The sequence below is a fragment of the Homo sapiens genome, chromosome 12 (assembly GCF_000001405.40).
Source record: "Homo sapiens chromosome 12, GRCh38.p14 Primary Assembly".
NCBI lineage: Eukaryota > Metazoa > Chordata > Mammalia > Primates > Hominidae > Homo > Homo sapiens.
In genome coordinates this window covers 103,150,709-103,174,955 of record NC_000012.12, presented here as the reverse complement: position 1 = coordinate 103,174,955, position 24,247 = coordinate 103,150,709, and the positions used below count along the sequence as shown (strand labels likewise).

Here is a 24,247-nt window from a genome sequence, read left to right as displayed (position 1 = left end):
TGGCAAATCATAATACAATTTACTTTTCGCTGGATACATGAAGTAACTATCAGTAAAAACCATATGTACATTATATTGGTTCATTTGGAGTAAAATTCAAAGTTCTGGGAACTTTGACATCACTTGGTGAGATTTGATAGCACTTTCTTCCCACTAGTCACTGAATTTTATTAATACAATTTAAAACTGTTAGAAGATATGAATTTGAAAATGAATTAGGTATGCTTTCTAGTTTTGAGATAGAAAAATGAATCATAATTTTGATATACTTCGATTGTTTACAAAATGGCTTTCAAATATTTTAAACATTTGAAGATTGCTGTTAACTAACAGATTTTCAGAGGGAACGTTGGTTGGCGATTAGAAGTCAGGCTAAAAAACAGACTCCCTGAGTTTGAATCCTATCTCTATTACCTAACAGCTGTGTGACCTGGGGCAATATACTTCTCTCTACCTCCACTTCCTCATCTGTAAAGTGAGAATGCTGATGCTAGTATCTACATCATGGGTTGACTGAAGAATTGTGTTACTTAACACATATAAAATACTTAGACCAGTGCTTGGTACATAGCTCCCAAATTAACCCTGAGACTATGTTCTTTTGGCACACTTTGAATCACATTAGTCCTTTTGTTCTCAAAAAATCACTACTTCTGATATACATGTATGTTTAGTTGACCCTGAATCCAAGTAAGGGCTCTGCCATAGGTTGTGTGACTTTTGGCAGAGCATTTAATTTCTGAATTCCTTCATCTATGAAATGGGAATCATAATAATGACTTAATAGGATTGTTATAGTAATGAAATCAGATAATGTGATAAAGCACTAGGCAGAATGCCTGAAACACAGTAAGTGTTGAACATATGGTAACTGTAGCATTTATTAGTCAATAGAGGCAGTGTTGTTTCAAGAAATGAGCAGCGATCTGTAAGTCTAGAGAGATAGCCTCTAATTTGGATTCATAATCTCTTTTATGTGGGGCAAGTTGATCCAACACCTTGTCTTCTATGTTTAGGAATGCAGATAAGATGTCCTGTATTTAAATCCATCGTCACTTCCCAAATCTGTGAATACCTACAGTGAGAGCAATATGAGTAAATAGAGGGTATGCTTGAGTTCCTGCAGTGAATGAATCTGGTAGAACAAGATGAGAGAGAAGTGAGTGGGAGACAAAAGTAGAGAAGAAACCACACGATTAATCAGGAGAAGAAGAAGTGAGGATCAAGCACAATCCACCAAAGGAAAGAATCACGGGGAGAGGACTTTTAAGAGGGAAGGGTGCATTTGTTTAATGGAAGGCATTAATATAAGAAGAAGGAGTGGAGGTCTAATGAAAGTTACAAAGGGCCTTTGGTGATTTCTCCATAAAGGTCTAGGATACAATGAAAGACAAAAGTTGTCTTGTTACAGTATGAGGCACTCAGACCTGCATGAAAAACTTGGTAAGATCTCAGAAAGTCTGCAGGCAGGGGCTTTTAGATTCCTCAGATAACACCAGAGTTCATGATTTAGGAAGGCTAGAGTGGGAAGGAGATTTTCTTTAAGACATGAAAGTGTCCATCAATCTCTATTTTGAGAAGCACTGTCCCATGTGAAATCTCCAAATAGGGAATTGGGTGTTCAGCTTTTTTGCTGCTTTCCCATGTGAACTCAGAAGTATCACTTAGACTCTCTGAGCCTCTGTTTCTTCATTTATACAATAAAAAACATTAAACTGGATATTTTCTGATCAATTTTACTTCATGTTTTATATACAGGCTATATAGATGCCAGCAAAAATAAATAACATGGATTTAGTAAAATGTACGAACAACTCTGGACCCCTAAACAAATCACTGAACTCTTTGGTACCTGAGATTTGGTCTCTAATTAAGGAGCCTGGACTGGCTTATCTCTAACAGCCACTGTGGTGCTAATGTTCCCCCTAAAAACATTTATTTCCTGGAGAGAAGTGGACACACACTTCAAAACCTTGTTTGGGAGAAGCTTTGTCATTGGAGGTAAATTATTGGGCAATATAAACTAACAAAACAAACAAATCTCTGGAGGTTATGTGGTGGAAACTTTAATTATTAACTCCTAGGGTACGAGTTCAAGAGATATATTTGACAAAATTTAGATTCTAGGCACAAAAGAGGCTTATGTTAGCTTTAGTATTGTGTTATTATACTATGTTCTTCTTTTGGATAAAATTCCAGGAAAAACATCTGAAACTGTTGGAAATATTTTGTAGCAATATCCTTGAAATAGGCCAATAAAATCTGGGTATGATTTATTAGGAAATACAGTGATGTCAGCAGAGGACTTTGTGGGGTTGCCACATGACACTGCAGTGAAATAGCTCACCTCCAACTTAGAGTTTGTCTAGGGAGAGTGACACTTTAGGCAAGTCTTTTGCTTCTCTGAGACCCTGTTTCCTCATCCATAAATAGTGGGGGAATATTATATACTCCACATAGCATTGTGAGGAATGAGATATATCAGCAAGGGGAAAAGGTAGGCAGACCAAAGGAAACTGACAGCTCTATAAAAATATTATAATTGCTAGTATCATCATAATTGTCCTACAACTGTGGGCTGCTCATCTCTGGCTCATTCCATCAACTTCCTGACACCATCTTGTCACTTAGTTACTTCACCACGTACTCATGAGCTAGACTTCCTTAGAGCTATTTCTTCTACCCACTCAACTCCCCACCTTTCCTGCTTTGCTTCATGCATATTACCCTATTCTGTTTTTCCTGCTATCACAGATTGGGAAATTTATGAAAGCAGGAGACCTGTCTTATTCATGAATTTAGGCAGGAGGAGCCTCCCTCCTGCCTAAAATTTGAGAAATGAATGAAGGAATGAATGAATGATGCCCATTCTTAGAAACAGACTGGACTTGGCCTTTGCCTCTGGACTCACCATTCTGCCCTATCTTGTGCCCTACCTAATTCATTCTGGTTCTCCAAACAAACCATTTTCTTATTGTAAGTTCCTACAGTGCTCAACATAGGGACACTGGCCTTTTACATTTTCTCCCTGTGTTATCCCCACCACTTTAGTCTTTCTGTGCCATTGACACTGGGTTCCCTTTGTCATCCCTGGCCCACTAATTAACTCACCTTCAGTCTGGTACATTTCTTCAGTCCTATAATACCAATATAGAGAAGAGGGAGAAGACTTGTCTCTTCTTCCCCAAACCTAGGCGTAGGTGGGCCCCAAGGCTTAATCTTTGATCTTCATTGTTCTCCTGTTTCGTTCCCCTAGTCTGAAATCTTATGGAGTCCCATACTTCAATACCACTGTCTCTCTAATGCCTTTAATTTCCTTCTCTAACACTTACTTATATTTTCCAACTCTTCAATTTATTAAAAATACTATTCTTCCAGCTCCTGCGACTCAATATCTTGGTGTACTCTTTAACTCTACCTTCCCCATTGATTTCTCAGATCCAATCAATTGTGAGAGTTACAAAATACTCCTTCTTAACAGTTCTTCCTTCTATTTCATCCTTTATTTATACTTTTAAGAGTTACTTCTCATGCCTATCCATTTGTTTATTCACTCACTCATCCAGTCTTTTATTCAACAAATATTTATAGAGGGCCTCTTAGTGAACAAGGCAGACAATGCCTCTGCCCTCATAGAAGTTACTCTCTAGGAAGGGAAGATAGACAATAAACAACTAATAAGTATATACCGAGGTGTTTATATAATCTCAGTTATTGATAAGTGATATAATGAAAGATTGTGCAGGGTCAGTGGATAGATAGTATTGGGATGGCTGCTATTTTAGTGGTCCTTTTGAGTTAGTGATACTTTAGCAGAAATCTCAATAAATAAAGGTGACAATCTTGGATGAGTGTTATCTAGAAGAGCTAAGAAGCTCCAGGAAAGAAGGGACTTGGTATATCCTAGAAACAGTACAGAAATCTATGTGGCAGGAGCATATAACATAAAAAGCAAGTATAACATAATGGGATGAGTATAGGGTAAAAAGATAAATGATACAACTTCTTGTCCTGATGTGCAACCTCAAAAAGTCACTTCTCTTCTCCAGACTGAAAGAGTTGCACTAGATGATCTTTAAGATATCACGAGGCTCTAAAATATCTTATCAACTCAACTACATTGTCAGTTATTTTAAGACAACAAGCCAATTTATATTTACTAATATATTCTTCACAGTTCACAAAGCAGTAGCATACACTGAATTGAATTGAATTGAGTGCGTTGGGTGTAAATGGAGTGATGAAAAGGGGTTGGAGAAGAGAGAGAGATGGCAGGACACAGCTCATGCAGAAACTTGTTGAAGATCACAAGAAATCTTGGATTGTACTGGATTAGATAATCAATGGAAAATGGCAGGATTTGGCTTTTTTTTTTAAAGGATCATACTACTATATAGAGAACAGAGTATGTGTACGAGGAGAGGAGAAATGGACAAGTAAGTGAGAAAAGTGGAAGGCTGATGGAAGCTTGCACTAGGGTATTGGGGAAGTATAAAGTGGTCAAAACTTGAAAATAGATGTAATTTGCTGACAAGCATTGTGTAAGGAAGAGTCAAGACTGACCTTGAGCCACTGAATGAAGAGAGGAGGAGAAAGTTCCAGAGGAATACTAAAATGTCAGGTTTTTATCTGACTACATGTAAGGCTAGACATCCAAATGAAAATATTAAGCATGCAATTAAGAATTATTAGCATATGCAGGCTATTTAATGTCATGGCATAAGGGTATAATTGTACATAGAGAAGAAAAGAGACTTGACAATGGAAATCTGGGACACTCCAAAATTTAAGGGCCAAGAAGATGAAAAGTACCCAGCAAAGGAGACTCAAAGGCATAGCCAGTAGGTTGGGAAAAAATTAGTGGAGTGTTCACCACTCAAGCCTGGAGTACTACACTGGTGTCTTGCCTTTTAGCTTCTTGACTTTCCAATTTTTTGATCTGTTGCTTTTGGTTCCTTCTATATACAAAATTAAACATACTTTATTCAATGTCAATTCTCAGTTGAAAAAAGCTCAATGGGAGCTCCTTAGTCCAGTACCAGAGCTTATTTATATTTTCCTTCTGAACCTCCTATTCCTCTCAGCATGAACCATTGCTCTAACCTTGGTCTGTTCACTAATCTATGTCTTGCACATTCACCTTTACTCATATCTATTCATGCTCTATCATTTTTATTTTATCCTTTTTATTTTTAGCATATCAAATTTTTATATGTATATCTTTTTAATGATATATCCTATCTCATCCAAAACACCTTCTTTAATCAATTAACAATGTAATTATTTTGCCCACTATAACACTGTAGTAGCATTTATTTTCTGAGTAATCTACAGGTTTTGAAAAAGTAATGCATTGTGTTTAAGAGCACTGACACTGGAGGTGGGTTTTCTAGACTTAAAACTCATTTCTTATACATACTAACCATATGATCTTGGATAAGTTACTTGTCTTCTCTGTACCTCATTTACTAATTTGTAAAAAGCATGTTATAATAATGTCTACCTCCTAGAGATGTTCTGATTTTTTTTTTTTGAGTTTAAGAATGGAAGTTTAATAGGCAAAAGAGAAAAGCTCCCTTGTGCAGAGGGAAGAGGTTCGGAATGGGTCTCTCGGTTCCCAGTGAGATGTGGTTGGTTTTATAGATGAGCTTGAGGAGGCAGTGTCTGATTTACATAGGGCACAGAGGATTGGTTGGACCAGGTATTCCATTTACATAGTGCACGAAGAAGCTGGCTGCTCCACCCTAATCTTTATTTTATTTATTTATTTATTTATTTATTTATTTATTTATTTATATTATACTTTAAGTTCTGGAATATCCGTGCAGAACATGCAGATTTGTTACATAGGTATACACATGCCATGGTGGTTTGCTGCACCAATCAACCTGTCATCTACATTAGTTATTTCTCCTAATGCTATACCTCTCCTTGTCTCCCATCCCCCAACAGGCTCCAGTGTGTGATGTTCCCCTCCCTGTGCCCATATGTTCTCATTGTTCAACTCCCACTTATGAGTGAGAACATGTGGCATTTGGTTTTCTGTTCCTGTGTTAGTTTGCTGAGAATGATGGTTTCCACCTTCATCCATGTCCCTACAAAGGACATGAACTCATTCTTTTTTATGGCTGCATAGTATTCCATGGTATATATGTGCCACATTTTCTTTATCCAGTCTAATATTGAAGAGCATTTGGGTTGATTCCATGTCTTTGCTATTGTGAATAGTGCTGCAATAAACATACATGTGCATGTGTCTTTATAGTAGAATGATTTATAATCCTTTGGGTATATACCCAGTTCTGATTTTTAAACGGGTTAAGAAATAAACTTAGAATGGTGTCTGATACCTAGTAAGCACTCAATAAATGAAAACTAATGTTGGTTTTATAATATTTTAGCTCTCATCCTATACTGCCTTGCCATGTTGAATTTTTCATGTAAGTGTAAGCTCACTATGTAAAGCAAGTATAACATAGTGAGAATAATGTATTTAGGTGATAAGATAGGGATGTGACTCCTTATCCTGATGTGCAACCTCAGGAAAGTTACTTTATCTCTCTTGATTGAAAGAGTTGAACTAGGTAATATCTAAGATATCATCAGGCTCTTAAATATGTTATCTGCTCAAGTAGCATGTCAGTTATTTGAGGGGAAAAACTGAGTCATATTTATATTTCCCATAGTTCACAAAGCAATATTATACACTGAATAAATTGAGTACATTGAATATAAATTCATGTATGGTTGGATGGATTGGTGTAAGCAGAAGAAAAGTGGGAGGAATCTTCTTTAGATGATATGCCCTGGGTCTTGCCTCTTAATGTACATCAACTTTATGTTTAAAGACTTCCATTGTGGTGAATAAAAGTATCCACAATAATGTAATCATTTCTTGTTTCTCCCATTCTCCCTCACCTATAAAGAGATGCATGTACATATTAACAGACACAATTAAAAACATGGAAATTTTTCAGAATTCAGTTGTTAGAGACTGTTCTTTCTAACCATTTGCAGTATACACACACACACACAGACACAAACACACACACACACACACACACACACACACACACGCCCACCCCTCAGAGATAGTATGTTACATATTTCTTTCTGTTTCTAGCTTACTTTTTACCTCCATTTAAAGCGCATTTTTTTTTCATTTACTGTTGGTTTGTCTCATAACTCTAAAAGTTTCTCAAGAATAAGTCTAATTTATTTTTTGTGCTGTTAAGTGCTTAAGCTAAGAGATACATCATACTAAATGCTTATTGAAATGAAATGTCAAAATCCCTTTCATTGGATGGAAGAAATGCAAGAGGAGATTTTGGCCAATAGTGAATGAGGAGCAACATATTTTTTCCTGGAAAAAAATCCACTGGGTTGAAACAGTAACCCAGTCACTGGCTGGGGCTCCAGGTTGAGGGAGCTGTTAAGAGATAGGAATTCATCGGGGCTTCAGTGAGTTCAATAAAAGACTCAGCTTAGAGAAATGACTAGTGTTCAATTCAAGGACTAGAGATTTGTAGCCTAAGCCAGGTAGAGGGGATGAGTGGGAGAAGCTTCAATTTGGGGGGACACAAAATTGTCCAGTAAATCTCCGGGAACCCTATAGTTCAGGCTTAGGAAAGTAAGCCAAATATCTGCATGAGTTTCTGGAGGAGATGCAGCTCCTAATCTCCTGCCAGACTTGGTTCTCTTTGGAACAGGACCTTGGTGATACTGACTTGGGTTTGAAGGTCTGTAGTACCTGGGGCTGGGCCAAGTCGGAGCAGGCCAGAACATACACCTGGGAGGATCTAGATGTGAAGAACATGATTGCGCAACCACTAAGACTATCAGGGTCAGAGAAACCTGTCCAATCTGAGATGTAATGTGACACACAGGCCATACACACTAGTGAGAAGAGCAATTTATTTCAAAAGCGTGAACATTTGGATAACAGCAAGGAGAAATTTAATTTAGGACTAGAAATATCAAAATGTTGTCAGGTAGATGTTTTAGAAGAGTCGATAAAGATAAAGACTAATAACACTTATAATAAAAGCTAATTTTCTGAGCCATTACTAAGTGCCAAGCTCTATTTTGAGCTATTTGTATTGCAGAACAACATAAGGAAAAAAAAAGATGGATGAAATTTTGCCTTAAGAAGTTAATTTGCAGGTTGAGAAGAAAATATTTACCCATCTCATCATAACACTAAATCAAATGGGTATGTAAAGAAAGAGTAAAGACAGCACAAGAAGAAAGAAAAGGATAAATATGAATTGAAATATCTCATTTCAGGCAAGAATTTTAAAAATGAAGAGAAGGGTTTATTGCCTTTGAATTCAATAATTTATTAAATGAGGATTGACTAGCTGAAGGAGTATGACTTTTGGGAAGAAATAGACCTGGATTCAAATTCTGACTCCATTTATTATGTGACTATAATTATGTTATTTAAAAATCTTTGTATTCTTGCCCATAAAATAAGAATAACAATACCTACATCATTAACTTGTTTTGAAAATCAAGTGGAATAAAATAAAATACACAAACTATTTATTAGAGTGTCTCATTCTTGAGAATAAGAATATCACCTTTCTTTAATAACAATAATAGCTAACTTTTTTTAAGCATTTATCATTTAATAGGAGCTCCACTAAATTATTCCTCTATTATCTCATTAAATATTCAGAACAACCACCCTATAAACCTAATCCTATTTTCTTCACTGTATAATGGGAGAAAATGAGCCACAGAGACATTCATATTACTTGCACAAGGTCTCAGAGTCCTTGCTGGGAGCTAGGATTCAAACCTAGAGAGGCTGACTTCAGGGCCTGTGTTTCTACTCACACTTCTTGTGGTTTCTTCCTTCCTTCCTTCCTTCCTTCTCTCTCTCTCTCTTTCTTTTTTCTTTCTTTTTTTTTTGAGACGGAGTCTCGCTCTGTCACCCAGGCTGGAGTGCAGTGGCGCGATCTCGGCTCACTCCAACCTCCCCCTCCCGGGTTCACGCCATTCTCCTGTCTCACCTCCCGAGTAGCTGGGACTACAGGCACCCGCCACCACGCCCGGCTAGTTTTTGTATTTTTAGTAGAGATGGGGTTTCACCATGTTGGCCAGGCTGGTCTAGAACTCCTGCCCTTAAGTGATCTACCCCCTCGGCCTCCCAAAGTGATGGGATTACAGGCGTGAGCCACCGCGCCCGGCCTGGTTTCATTCTTTATGCGCACTGTGATGTCTTCAGATTATAAGCTTCTTAAGGGCAGTGATTTTGCCTGGCTTTGTGACTGCTATTTCCACAGCTCTTGATACAGCACCAGGCACATGACTGGTTAAAAGACTAACCTGTGTGATTTTTTTAATTGCATTTGTTAAAGAAAAACAGGAAGGAGATAGTCCATTAGTTGGCTAAGTTATGTGAATTTGAGTCTCTACCTGCCACTGTTTCTATATGCCACCTTCAGACCTATTGTTATCTTTGGCATATATTTGCAATCCTCTCCCTCACTTCACAGGTGAATTTCGTCATGAAGAAAGTTGAACCAGAATCCACTGAAAATAATTTTCTTTTGAAAAGGGGAAAGAGACTTTATTACAGCTAACAGTTTGCAAACCTGGGAGATGCAGCCATGTTTCAAGAGAACAAAGAGAGGGCCTGTCTTTTATAGGGAAAGTGCCTGCCCGGTTTCCCACTTTGGTTTGCTTATGCGGATAAAGAATGCAAACTTGCTTAGTTCTAATTGGTTGATGCTTCTTGAGTTCTGATTGGCCAATGCAGGTCATTGTCCATTGGTTGATTCAGGTGGCATAAATAGGAACAGACAGCTATACAAATCCCAAAGTTAAGTGAGCATGGGGGTTCTCCAGGAACACAGACTATGTGTGTGACCTCTAGTCAGCAAACGGTCATTTCACTCTATTTTGAATTTAGGCCCAGTTAGCCACTCAGGATCCAACTTTACAGACTGGCTCTTTCAGGGTTCACATATGTGATAGTAAACCTTAATTTCTCTGTCTGAAGACATTTGTCCTACCTAAGTATCATGGGTTTCATTAAATTCTCTCAACTCTGAGCATATTTTATCCTAATATCCTAATACTCCACATTTGTGAGTATACTGATACACATGGGTTGCCTGCCAATTTATCTTGTCTCTCCTACTGAACCGGTAATTGAATTCAATACGACAGAATCAAAGCCTACTCTTGTCTGGAGTGTTACATGGAATAAATAAAGGAGTATTCATCATGGTTTCCGCTCTCCAAGAGCTTTGAATCTGGATGAAAACAAAAGGTTTACAAAAGTAACACAGACAACAATGCAAACTTAAAAATATTAGTATAAGTATATGGAAAATATTGATATACTATGTAAATTTCTTCAGGACAATGTCTTTTATACTGGCACCCACCCCCTGTGCCTTAGACAGAAGTTATGCAAGCAATGCCCAATTCTTTCCTGGCAAATAAAGAAATGTACTCACTTATTCAGTAATTCATTCGTCCAGCACCTATTTGCTCAGAACTTACCATGAAAATATCAGGCAATATTTGCATTCAAGGAGCTGCTGCCAAGAAGAAGAAAGAGTCATATATAAATGTATAATTTCTATGAAAGGGGATAGGAGAGTCTGTAAGTATACAAACAGCTGTGATGTTAGAGAACAAGAAGTGACTACTGAAAGTTTCCTAAGATTCAAGCCTGGTAGCATAGGATATATGGAGATACGAATAGGGTTGTTGTTGTCTGAAGTGACACAGAGCATCTTGTGGAGACTCTTATTCCACTTATGGTCAGTACCATACATTAGTGTTCATTGTCTAGGTTGCTTTTGAGAAGAGAAACGATACATTGGGTTTCCTTTGCTTTTCCATTTTACAGATCTTAGCACAGAGCATACAACACTGGGCTTATAATAATTGCTTCTGATCATTGCATCATGACCTGGTGGAAGGTGCATGGGCTTTGGTGTACAGTAAATCTAGTTTGGACCCCCCAACTCTGTGACTTATTAGTAAGGACTGGGATAAATTGACCTCTCTGAGCCTTTTTCCCCAGATGAGAATAAGAAGCACTGTAACAAGTGCTTGTTAAATAATTATCACATTTAATCCTCTCCATGACCCTATGAAGTAGGCACTTTAACTATCCCAATTTTACAGATGAGAAAACTGAGGCTCAGAGAGCTAAACTGACTCACCCCATATCACACAGCTAATCACTGGGGGCTGGGATGAACATCCAGGCAAACCTACTCAGTTATACTTGATAACTGACTTTCCAGGCCTGTAGTATTAAAAATAATTTTGTAAAAGATCTAGTTCAATGCCAGAAACATAGAAGGTCCTCTCTGCTTTTGTTTTTTAATTAATTGGTGATGGAAGGTCAAATACAGACTGGTCAAGCTGTGGACAGAACAAAAGACACAATGTCTAGATTAGATTTCTCTAGTTCTCTCTTTCTGAGCTCACTGCCATCCAGCCCTCAGCTCAAACACAAGGGCAGTCCTGGAGCACACAATTCAAGGGCACTGGTGTTTAAGGGGTAATAAAACCAACATGAAATGGAGGCATTTTTACTCCTTAAAGCCAGACTTCTACCCTATAAATAGTTGGCTACCTGATTCCTTCCCCTCATTTCACATCACACCTCAATCTGCCATTGATTGGATCTAGATGAAGTACCCTTTCTATGAAGCAGGATCAATTTAGCCAATTTGTCCAATTTAGATGCTGCTGAGATCAGTTCCTTGAAGCCCAGGATTAGCAAAGAACAAACTTCTTTATGTGATTTTGTATTTAATTCAACTGCTCCTTGTTCAACTAGTAAAATTCTTCCCCTAGTTGCCAGACACTGATGTGAGTAAAAAGTGAACTCTGAAGTTGGGCAATTGATGTTAAATGGTGCTACCAGGCAAAAAGATGAGCTCCTGGGAAAAAGAAGGATTTTTTCTCCTTCAATAGAAATGGATTTCAAATGTAATTTACTGTTTCTACCTGGTGAAAGGGCATCTCACCTCATGAATCCATGGGATGCTGAGAGAAGCGCCATTTCTTTCCAGAAGGCTGTGTTTCCAAATTAACTTGTTCAGATGCTAAGCAGAAAAGCAGCCGTGCTGCTAGGATGAACAATTACTTTCTCTGGGTTGCCTGCAGGCTGATTCATTCAGCTCACTTTATGTTCCAAACCTTGGCTGGGTCTGGAATGGTGGTTCAATATTGTGGGGGCTTTGAGTTTTTATTTCAGCCAAACTAGTGACACAAAAAAATGAGAGCCTGATGAGAATCTTGTAAGATGCCAGGTTTGTGCAACCTGCCTTTGGAGTCATGCAGGTTGACTTCCAAGAGGAGAGCTAAGAAATACAGAGTAGTTATTGATTGGCTTCCCTCTTCTTAGGTGTACAGATGTGTGGTTACACATGCTCCTGCACACACACACACACACACACACACACACACACCAGCTTGTTGGCTTGACATCTATGTACCCTCACAGTTGTAACTGAAGGTGCTTTTAAATAAAGGGCCATTTCACTATGGCTACAGCTTCCCCCAGCCAACCTTGCAAAGTGGGCCCTGCAGGGGATTTGGACCTGAGCACTCTTTCCATGATATTGTCTGGTGAGGCAGCAGTCTACCCCAGTGGGTACTGAGCTCAAGGTAGAGATTGACAGGAGTGGGGGTGGTGGAGAGGCCCCCGCAGGCTTGCTCCATACTGTCACTGTCACTCCTGATGTACCAAAAAGTGCTGCCTCTTTACCGAGTGCTGCTTATGCCAATTCACTCTCAAGGGACATAGGACAAAGGCGCATGCTGGATCTTCACATTTTAGAATGAGGATCATCAATCTTACTCCATGTATAGAAAGGAGCCAATGTTGGGGAAGAGCAATAAACCCTACTAGCTGCTCTGGGGCATTAGGAGGGAAAAGGGAAGGGGGGCTGGGGGATTGTAGGCTTCTTTTATATTCCCCAAACCTGTGGGAACAGATTCTATTACACAAAGAGAGTGCGAGAGGGGAAAACAAACTGGTGTGGAATGGAGTTTGATGATCAGTTTTCTAAGAAACAATTTCTTCTGAAAAATCAAAATCAAACTCAAGCTATTTGTGCTTAATAAGTACATAAAGTTCTTCACAAACAAATAGGTCATTTTTGTGTACATGACCCCTGTAACCACGCCAGTGTGAGCAAGACCTCAGGTATTCAGGCCCAGGTAAGATCATTTTGTGAAAGGAGAACTTAATTGTGCCCAGTACTAACTACTGTGCAATTTTTAAGATTCTATTTTTATTTTTTTAGAATTTGGCAAAATGGAATGCTAGGTGTTTACAGTACCATCATTTATTATTGTCCTTGACAGTCTCCTCCATTTCCAATGCTTTTTTCTAAAAACAAGAGTTCCAAGATATTAACAAAGTATCTGTGGTGAAATAAGTGGCAGAAATACTATGTGAGATGAAGCTGAACAGGTTTTTTTCTGCATGATCTTTTCATACCTTTAATATGTTGAGGTATATAAAAATCTACAAGAGAGGGAGATGGTAGGTGGTAATTTTTTAAAATGTATTTGATCATGGGTTTTTTTTTTAGCATTTTGCAGAACTAGTGCTAGGCACTAGTCACTTTGGGACATGCTAGTGAGAAGGCTGATGCCCTCAAATTACTTTAAAAGGACACTTTTTCAATCCCACCTTTCAATGCTTAACTATTTGGAAGTTATAAATTCCCTCTTCTAGTCTTGGATTCAGGATTAAGCAGTGAAGATTTTCCTCAAGACTTGGGTATCTCCAAGAGAAACTCTAAGATTTAGAATTTATGCAATCACAAGAGTGGAAAGCCTGCCCCACTTTGGAAAGTTATGGTATCCATTACACGTTTTGCGTCTGAGATCCAGTGGAGTGGGACAAATAATAATTTACTGAGCAATCAAGCATGCCAGACGTTATGCTCAACGTTTCACATAGGTTGTCTAAATCAGTCTTCAAAATAGCTCAATAAGGGTTATTTCTACCTTTCCGCAGCTGAGGAAACTGAAATTAAGCAAATTACTCCACAGGGTGACTGTATAGTGAGTGGTAAAGCTGGCACTCACACAAATCCAGTAAGTCCAGAACAAAATGAGGCAATCTGACTTTTAGCCACTACACTATGTTGGTATGTCTAGATAGCCTGCCTCATCCAGGGTCACAGTTTAGTTGTGTTCCAGAACTGTATTTTCCCCAAAGCATGGAAATCATCTGTGAAGTCTAGCTTAGGAGGAGTCTAACTGCCTTAGGAAGTATGGGCTGGGATTCAATAAGGGATTGGGGTGTTGCACTGTTCAGTGGCTACTCAGCAAGGGGTTTTATTAGCAAATATAGACAGCCTGCAATTGCTGTAGTCTTGAGGGATCTTCTTTGAGGAATCCATCCCATACCTTGTAAATGGTGATTTCAAGTCCCACTCCTGCTTATCCTTTGCTTTACTTGGGGGAAAAATTTACTTGGGGGAAAATTTTATTAGAGAACAATGTTCAGGGTATTAGATTTAAAGACATAAAGTCATTCTAAAATGTGAATACAGGGTATTAGAGAACAGGGTAATTCCTATAAACCTTTCACATTGACTTCTGGAATAACTGGACACCTTTCTAGGAAAGGAGGAGTGGGAATGGAATAGCACTTGGTAGTTTTGCTCATAAGAATTTTATTTAAATCTATGCAACTCCCTGTGGTTCTAGGAATTATTCCACTCTGCTTTGCTGTAGAACCTCTGGAATTTTTGATGTTAGGACAGATTCTGGGAAGGATCAATGATGGAATTTTCCTTTAATTCTATCTGACTTTTTTTCTCACAGAATTAGGTTTAGCAAGGAAAGCGCAATGCTCATTATCAGTTACTTTTGACAAACTCTTGCCCTGTGATTATACGTCAAACACAATGAGCTAAATACCCCCATTGAATAGTGTGCCCTGTTGTTCCACCTCAGCTGGCCTCATCCCAAAGAAACACTTCTGGATTAGCCAATCTGTTTTGAAATATGGAATAGGCAGTCTCAGAGTCATCTATTGAATAGTCAGTTGACCAACAATATTTCCTAAGCTAAATTGACTATGCAAACCAAGTCTGAACAAGGCATTCTAAGCATGCACTAACTAAGAGTCAGGGGTCCCTGTCTTCAAAGAGTTGGAGAGATGATGCATGTGCACACACATGTTCCTAGGATACAACTGGAGGGGACCATGAACATAGGGACAAATGGGACAATGCAAAGGAGAGTGTGAACCTGAGTATTGAAGGGGAAATTAAATGGATGGCAAATGGTGTTTGCTGCAGAAAACAGTTGACTTGTTAAATAAAAGTGCAGGGAGGGTGGAGGTTGGGGGGCTGTTGAGACAGATACCTTCTCAGATGGCTTGATCCAAGTAAAACCAGTGATTCTGCAAGTAGTCTATGGATTCAGGCAGCTCTGAGGTGATTTTAAGGGTACTGGACCCCAAATCCATTAGTGACAAGACTGGAAGCTTTCTGAAGGCAGGAGAAATATCCAACTTACCATCATAGCCTCAGAATCCAATACATAGAACGTCTAGTATATATGGCAGGCACTCAGTGAATTTTTTATTAAGAATTAAATTAATCTGTGTCATCACTAACATTAGGCCAGGAACTGCCTCTGTAGACATGCACCACTGGAGTGGAAGAAAAAGTCGTGTGACTGTGGGCAAGAGGTAAAGGGGAAGAAGAGGTGCAGGGATAGAAGTTTGTCTATAATGCAATTCTATCAGTCTAATTGTAGCCTTTATGTATACTTTAAAAAAATCAATGGAAGAAGCTTTACTTGCCTATCTTCTGGCAAGGAGACAAATAAATCCATTCTCTCCTTTCTATACCAGGAGGGTTTAAAAGTTCTGTCGAGAGTTCCACATGATAGTCAAAGAAGATCTATGTTTTGTGATAGATTATTGATGGAAAATTTTTTTTTCTCTTAACAGATAAAACTGTACCTTCTACCACCTTTCACTCATGTCTCCTTATTTTATTTATTGTAATTGATGTAAAAAATCAGCTTTAGGATATCTAGACTATCAATCCATTTTTTTTTTTTTTTTTGAGTCTTGCTCTTTTGCTCAGGCTGGAGTGCAGTGGCACGATCTCGGCTCACTGCAACCTCCGCCTCCCGGGTTTAAGTGATTCTCCTGCCTCAGCCTCCCAAGTAGCTGGGATTACAGGCGCCTGCCACCACGCCCAGCTAATTTTTTGTATTTTTAGTAGAGACGGGGTTTCACCATGTTGGCCGGGCTGGTCTCAAACTCCTGACCTCATGATCAGCCTACATCGGCCTCCCAAAGTGCTGGGATTTTGGGCATGAGCCACCACACCTAGCCATCAATCCATTTTTATATTTTTACAAAGCAGAAGATGAAATTGAATCTCCAATACATTTTCATGGTGCTTCAAGCTCTATCTAAGTACTTAGGAGGGATATTAACTTAGGAAGATAAGGTTAAAAACAAAAACAAAAACATCCACAGCCTAAGGGTTCCTTAGGAATCCTTAGAAATGGAAGCGAATGTGTTCCAAGTCTCTACAGTGCTGAGTGGTCAGCGCAGAAGCTATCTTCGTGGTATATTTCAGTGAACTGGCATTTTTGTGAGAAACAGACCCATGGGCAATGTGATGTGGTGCCAGAAGAACAGGTTTGGGAATGAAACCTGACATAAATCTACCTGGACTTGGGAAAATTAAATAAAGTCTCTGAGCCTCAGTTATCCCATCTGCAAGAAAATAACAAAATTCATCTCATCAGACATTGGGAATATCAGAGATAATCCACGCAATGCTTGTGATGTATAATAAACATTCAAAAAGTGGTAGTTGTTATTTTTATGATTGGCATTCTTACCACCAGAATGAAAATACTTTTTTATTGTTTCTTAATATCCTCTTTTGAAACATAATAGAGTGAAAATTTAAAAAATCATAAGAAAATATTTCTTTGTGAGAGAGTAATGAATCAAGAAACTTTCAGAGTATAACAGAATTATATGAAATTACTATTTCTGAATTTCCATACCATTTAACATATATGGTCATGTTTCTGCAAATCATTTATAGAAAAGGACTTGAACAAAATACTTCTAAATTTTTCACTTTTTATTGGAGTGTAATATTTCTCAGAGACCTCAGAAATAACACCACACACCTACAACCATCTGATCTTCTACAAACCTGCCAAAAACAAGCATTGGGGAAAGGATCTTCTATTCGGTAAACGGTGCTGGGAAAACTGGCTAGCCATATGCAGAAAACTAAAACTGGACCTGTTCCTTACACGTTATACAAAAATTAACTCAAGATGGATTAAAGACTTAAATGTAAAACCCAAAACCATAAAAACCCAATTAGAAAGCCTAGGCAATACCATTCAAGACATAGGCATGGGCAAAGACTTCATGACTAAAACACCAAAGGCAATTGCAACGAAAGCCAAAATGGACAAATGGGATCTAATTAAAGAGCTTCTGGACAGCAAAATAAACTATCATCAAAGTGAACAGGTAACCTACAGAATGGGAGAAAAATTTTGCAATCTACCCATCTGACAAAGGTCTAATATCCAGAATTTATAAGGAACTTGAACATATTTAAAAGAAAAAAACAAACAACTCCATCAAAAAGTGGACAAAGGATATGAACAGACGCTTCTCAAATGAAGACATTTATGTGACCAGCAAACATGAAAAAAAGCTCAACATTACTGACCATCAGAGAAATGCAAATCAAAACTGCAATGAGATACCATCTCATGCCAGTCAGAATGGTGATTATTAAAAATTCAGGAAATAATAGATGCGGGCGAGGCTGTGAAGAAATAAGAACGCTTTTACACTGTTGGTAGGAATGTAAATTAGCTCAACTATTGTGGAAGACAGTGTGGCGATTCCTCAAGGATCTAGAACCAGAAGTACCATTTGACCCAGTAATCCCATTACTGGATATATACCCAAAGGAATATAAATCATTCTACTATAAAGGCACATGCACATATATGTTTACTGCAGCATTATTTACAATAGCAAAGACATGGAACCAACCCAAATGCCCATCAATGATAGACTGGATAAAAAAATGTGGTCTATATACACCATGGAATACTATGCAGCCATGAAAAGGAATGAAATCATGTCCTTTGCAGGGACATGGATGAAGCTGGAAGCCATCATCCTCAGCAAACTAACACAGAAAAAGAGAACCAAATACCGCATATTCTCACTCATAAGTGGGAGTTGAACAATGAGAACACATGGACACAGAGAGAAACAACACACACAAGGGCCTGTTGTGGGGTCGGGGATGAGAGGAAGGAACTTAGAGGACAGGTCAATAGGTGCAGCAAACCACCATGGCACACATTTTCCTATGTAACAAACCTGCATGTTCTACACATGTATCCCATTTTTTTTAGAAGAAAAAAATTCACTTTTTATTGGAGTGTAATATTTATTCACATAATTGCACATTAAAACACACAGCTTGGTGAATTTTTACAATCAGAACCCACTCATGCAATCTGCACCCACATTGAGAACAAAGTCCATTATAGCACTCCTGAAGCCCTGCCCCCACCTTTATGCCCCTTTTCAGTCACTACCACCCCCAAATGCAACCACCATCTTGACTTATAACACCATAGATTAGCTTGGTCTGTTTTCGCCTTTAAATAAATAAGAATCATACATTAGGTATGCTTCTGTGGCTGGGTGGAACAACTTACATTTTTAAATGTCAAGAGAAACTGTGTGGCCTGGTCACTAGAACATTCAAACTGATTCAAAGAGGATAATCTTTCAGATGTGACCTGCCCAGAAGGCAGAAGGGACTAGTCTGTGAATAAATACAGAATATAAATTATAATTATAACACTACTTAATAAAATTATTGCTATTGATAATTATTCATGATTAATATAAAATAATATTAACAAATGTTCATAATAAAATGTTCATAATTAGAAAATATTTTACAGTAATACAAAATTAAATGTAAGATGTAGAAGAATACAAAGGCACAACTTGTTTCAAAGGAGGCATATATACACACATATATGTATATATGTATATATACACTCATATATGTATATATGTATATATACACACATATCTATATATACACATACTGGTATATGTATATGTACTATTTTTACTATATGTATATATACACATACTTGTACACATTTACATATGCAATATGTATATATATACACTTGTATATGTATATATACAAGTATGTGTATATATACATATGTATGTATATATATGTATACAGACACACACATACATATAAAATGGTAACCCACCAGCAAGTACTCTTAATAAAATCTTTAGAAATAACCTGAATTAGCCATGAGCATCCCAATGTGCTCTCTGGGAGAGAGAGAGGCTTCCAAACAGGGAGCAGCAGCTCCAATGTGTCCCCACCGTTATTTTGTTATAAAACTCATTATGTGCTCATAGAATCAGCTCACCATTGTTTTTTCTGCTTTCTTTGTTATTAGTTGCCTTATAGCTTATATAGAAGACACATTGGAGGGCCCAAATTGACAAATTTGTAAATATTTACCTTTCACCATTGAATAACCACAAAAATGTGACATTCCCAACAGCTTGAGGTCTCATGCCAATTGGAGGTGCATACCACCTACCACCAAACTCACCTGTTCAAATGTGGTTCCCCACTCAGAGCTGTGATTTGGCCGTGGTGCTGGGGAAAAGATAAATTACTGGCAAGAAAATAATTTAGGAGGTAATTGTCCAAGCATTATCTTCAAGGGCCTAAACTAAGAAAGGGGCCATGAGTATAGAAAAGAAAGACTGGTATATTGTGGTACATTTCCAGCTAAATTTCTAGTTCCACACAAATTTCTGCAGTGGGCTTTATACTGATTTACCACTGTGAAAAGAGGAGTGGGGGAGGTTTCGCTTTGGGCACCAGTTCACTGATAATACACAGGACTAAGTATTTTTCAAGTAGTAATGGTATGAGGAGGGTGAATTTTATTCCAGACACATGAAATGTAAAGTAGAGCCAAAGCCAGTAGACAGTTGCAAATGTATAATCCATAAATTCGACTCACTTTTTAAATAAAAAGTTATTTTTAGCCAGCAAAGATTACGTCAAACATTATTTTTTCTCTTTGTTTTTTTCTGAGCATAATGTTTCTGTCTTATGGAAAAAAACGGAATTTCCTCCTTTTTTCCCCTCATAAAACTAATTTTTCCCTAGTATAGAAAATCGGCAAAATATAAATGAGTTGAAAGAGAAAGAATGAATCCACCTTTTTATATCCAAAACAGTTGCTATTATTATTTTGGTCTGTTTCCTTTCATTCAACATTCTATCATAAGTATTTTCCATGTTACTGATATTTCTTCCTTTGATTTGCATTTCTCAGAGTACAAGTTAGAAATGTTTTGCATTTCTGAAAAAAAAAATTTGATGGAATGTAAAACTAGGATGGAACCTCTTATCCAGTGTGGATGAGCTGGCTTCTTCTGTAAACCTCATGATGCTGATGGGTACCTGAACTGCTTCCAAGGTGTTGGGTTTTTTTGTTTGCTCGTTTTTAAGTTTTACTTTTTATTAAAGTATAATATTCCAACAAAAAGGCAGACTTATCACAATTACATAGGTTGATGAATTTTCACAAACAAAACCCAGCTGAATAACCTCTTTTAAATTAAGAAAGGGAGCATTCACCAGCATACCAGAAACTCATTCTCCAACTCCATGCCCCATCCAATCACCTGCCTTCTACAAGAGTAGCCACCAGCTTGATATTTGTCAACAATAATTAGTTATGCTATTTTTTACTTTTTACGAAAATGGAACCATATAGTTTTAACTCATGGGTCTGGCTTCTTTCCTCCACATTCTTTTTTTTTTTTTTTTTTTTTTTTTGCTGAGATTTGTCCACACTCTTGTATGTCTGTGTAGATTGTTCCATCTTACTACAGTCTAGTACTGCACTGTATGAAAATACCACAATTTACTTATTCATTCTGCTGTTGATGGAGATTTTGAAAGTTATAGTTTTGGACTACTGTGAATAGCGATGCTATGAAATATTCTGGTACTTGTTTTCTGGTGAGTATATGTATGAATTTCTGTTAGGCACACAGTTAGTAGAGAAACTGATGAGTGAGAGGATATGCAGATATTTAGATATTATAGATACTCCCAAACAGTTTGCGAGATGGTTGCACCAATTTACCATCCTGCCATTAGTGTATTAGAGTTTCAGTTGTTCCACATCCTTTTAGATACTGGTCTGTCTTTTTTATTTTGGTCATCCTAGTGGGTATACGCTAGTTTTAACTTGGATATCCCTGATTATAAATGAATTTGAGCACCTTTTAATAAATTTGTTAGCCATGGAAGATCCTCTTTTATAAAGTATTTGTTCACATTTTCAGTTTCTTTTTCTATTGGGAATGCCTATTTTTAAAATTGATTTGTGAGGTTCTTTATAAGTTTAGAATATGAGTTATTTGTTGAATATATTTATTAAAATATCTTCTCCCACTCTGTAGGTTGCCTTTTAACTGTTGTATTTGTGTCTTTTGAAGAACACACCATTTTAATTATAATATAGTTTGATTTAACAATGTGTATCTTTTAGAGATGTGCCTTGTGTGTCATGTCTTAAAAAATATTTGCTACTCCCAAGTGAGAAAGATGTTCTGCTGTATTTTTTCCTCCAAATGCTTTGTAGTTTTTTCCTTCATAATTAAATCTGCAGTATATCTGGAATTTAATTTGGTACACAATGTAAAGTAAGAGTTAGGACACATTTGTTTTTCTGTAATGCTATTTAATAGACACAGAACCATTTATTGAAAAGACCATTCTTTCCCTACCTAGCTGATGTGTGACAATACCTTTTTTTGCTCTTTTTGGACTTTTTGCATTCCCATATGAGTTTTAGAACTAGTTAATTTTATCAGAAAAAGTAAAAACTGCTGGAGTTTATATTGGGAAAGCATTAAGTACATAGGTTAGTTTGTGGGGGATTTGATGGATTTCCAATATTGAGCCAATTCATGAACATGGTATGACTTTCTATTTGTTTAGATCCCCTTTATTTAAATATTTTATAGCTTTTAGTATAAAAGTCTTACACATTTTTCATACTTCTCACATGTGTCTGCTTTTTCATGCAAGCATAAATAATATTTTAAAATTTTATTTTCTACTTTTTGTTGCTTATTAGCCACAAAATATGATTACTATATTGCATTATAAGAAAAAAAATTATTGTCGTTTATTGACATTGGACTCAGCAACCTTGCTATATTTATTGTCAATTCTTAAAGTTTGTAGATTTTTTTGGATAGTCTAGTATTCTAGGTACAGAATCATGTAGTCTGTAAACAATGACAGTTTTATTCATTTTTTCCTATATTTGTGATTTTTATTTATTTATTTTGTTTATTTGTTTTGTTGCATTTGCTAGGATGGCCAGTACCGTAATGAGTGGAAATAGTGAAAATGCATTCCTGATCTCAGGAAGGTCTGCAATATTTGCCATTGAGTATGATGTTCTCTATAGATTTTTAGGTACTTGTTTACCTTAGCTCTCTACTGCTGCATAACAAATTACCATAAATTCAGCAACTCAAAACAATACAAAGTCATTATCTCACTTTTCTATGCCATACATCTGGGCAGGGTTCAACTGGATACTCTGCTCAGGGTCTCACAAGGCTAAAATTAAGGTGTCAACCTGTGGCTAGGTACTTCTCTGGAGCTCTTGATTCTCTTCCAAGGTCATTCATTAGCAGAATTCAGTTCCTTTCAGTTGTACCATTGAGGTCTCTGTTGTTGTTGTTTTCCTGGCTATTGGCTGGGGTTTTCTCTAAACTTTCAGCAGCCACTTTCAAATCCTAGCCATTTGGCTTCTTCCATTTTTGAAGCCAGCAAAGGAGAATCTCCCCTGCATCAAATTTCTTGGACTTCAGGGAGGTCCCACTCCCTTTAATGACTCATCTGGTTAAGTCAGGCCTACCTGGGTAATCTGCCTTTCAATTAAGACAACATCAAGTGATTAGTAACTTAATCCTGGGACTGAGTGTGAGCTTTTGCCCACACTCAATAAGAGAGAATTGTACAGAGCTTACATACAATTGTGTGGGAATCTTGGAGATCATAGAATTCTGCTTAACATAATATTCTTTATTAACTAATGTATCTATAACTAGGTTACCCAAGAGTTGTTACCATGGTTGAGTGTTAAATCTGATCAGATATTTTTTCTGCATCTATCAAAATGTTCATTTATTTTTCTTTTTTTGTGTGATTTACATTGATCTTTTTCAAAGCTCATTAGGTTCTTAAAGATAACTAGATCCAGTTTGCTATGTTGATTTGAACCATGTGAGATTGCTGACATTTTACCATACTTGAACTATAAATGGCAGTTTATATATTTGAACTTAATTTTAAAATAATTTTATACCTATTTGTATAAAATATATTGATCTGTAATTTTTCTTTCTTGAAATGTTCTTGTTGAGTTTTATAATTGAAGCTATTTAGGCCTCCTAAGGTGCTGGAAAGTATTCTTTCTATATGTATATATATACTCTGAAAGAGTTTGTGCAGAATTGATATTATCTCATTCTTAAATGTGTGAATTAATTCATTGGTGAAGCCATCTGGGTGTCTTCCAGTGTTAATCACTTTGAAAGATACACTCCTGGTTGGGTGTGGTGGCTCACGCCTGTAATGCCAGCACTTTGGGAGGCCGAGGCAGGCAGATCACGAGGTCAGGAGTTCGAGACCAGCCTGACCAACATGGTGAAACCCCCATCTCTACTAAAAATACAAAAATTAGTCAGTCGTGGTGGCGTGCACCTCTAATCCCAGCTACTCAGGGTGCTGAGGCAGGAGAATCGCTTGAACCTGGGAGGTGAAGGTTGCAGTGAGCCAAGCACTCCAGCCTGGGTGACAGAGTGAGACTCCATCTCAAAAAAACAGATACACTCCCTTCCGATGTTTTAATTGATGCTGAGGAAATCTTCATATACAGGTTAAGGCTGTAATCTATGAGAATTTTCTTGAGCAAAATGGTGATGATGAAAAATATATGTATATGAGTCAGTCCAAAAGAGAAGAACTCAGATATAGTCGGGAATTGCTCCAACAATATTCTGATCATTCCAGTATTTTTTTATATTAGAAATAGAGGCTCTGATCCATAAGTGAATTTTCTCAGT

At 37.4% G+C, this 24,247-nt stretch overlaps 1 protein-coding gene and 1 long non-coding RNA gene across 4 annotated transcripts in view; one reads left to right on the top strand and one right to left on the bottom strand.

Moving 5' to 3' along the window:
• The window catches only part of C12orf42 (chromosome 12 open reading frame 42), a 516,167-nt gene that overhangs the window by 388,835 nt on the left and 103,085 nt on the right, over positions 1–24,247 (top strand). The gene's annotated exons all lie outside the window — the stretch shown is intronic.
• Positions 6,647–23,114, bottom strand: C12orf42-AS1 (C12orf42 antisense RNA 1). Its single transcript, NR_126333.1, has 7 exons — positions 23,038–23,114; positions 18,748–18,857; positions 15,373–15,497; positions 12,006–12,240; positions 10,519–10,553; positions 10,193–10,265; positions 6,647–6,918 (listed from the first exon to the last, which is right to left on the bottom strand). It is a non-coding gene; the product is annotated as a C12orf42 antisense RNA 1 (long non-coding RNA).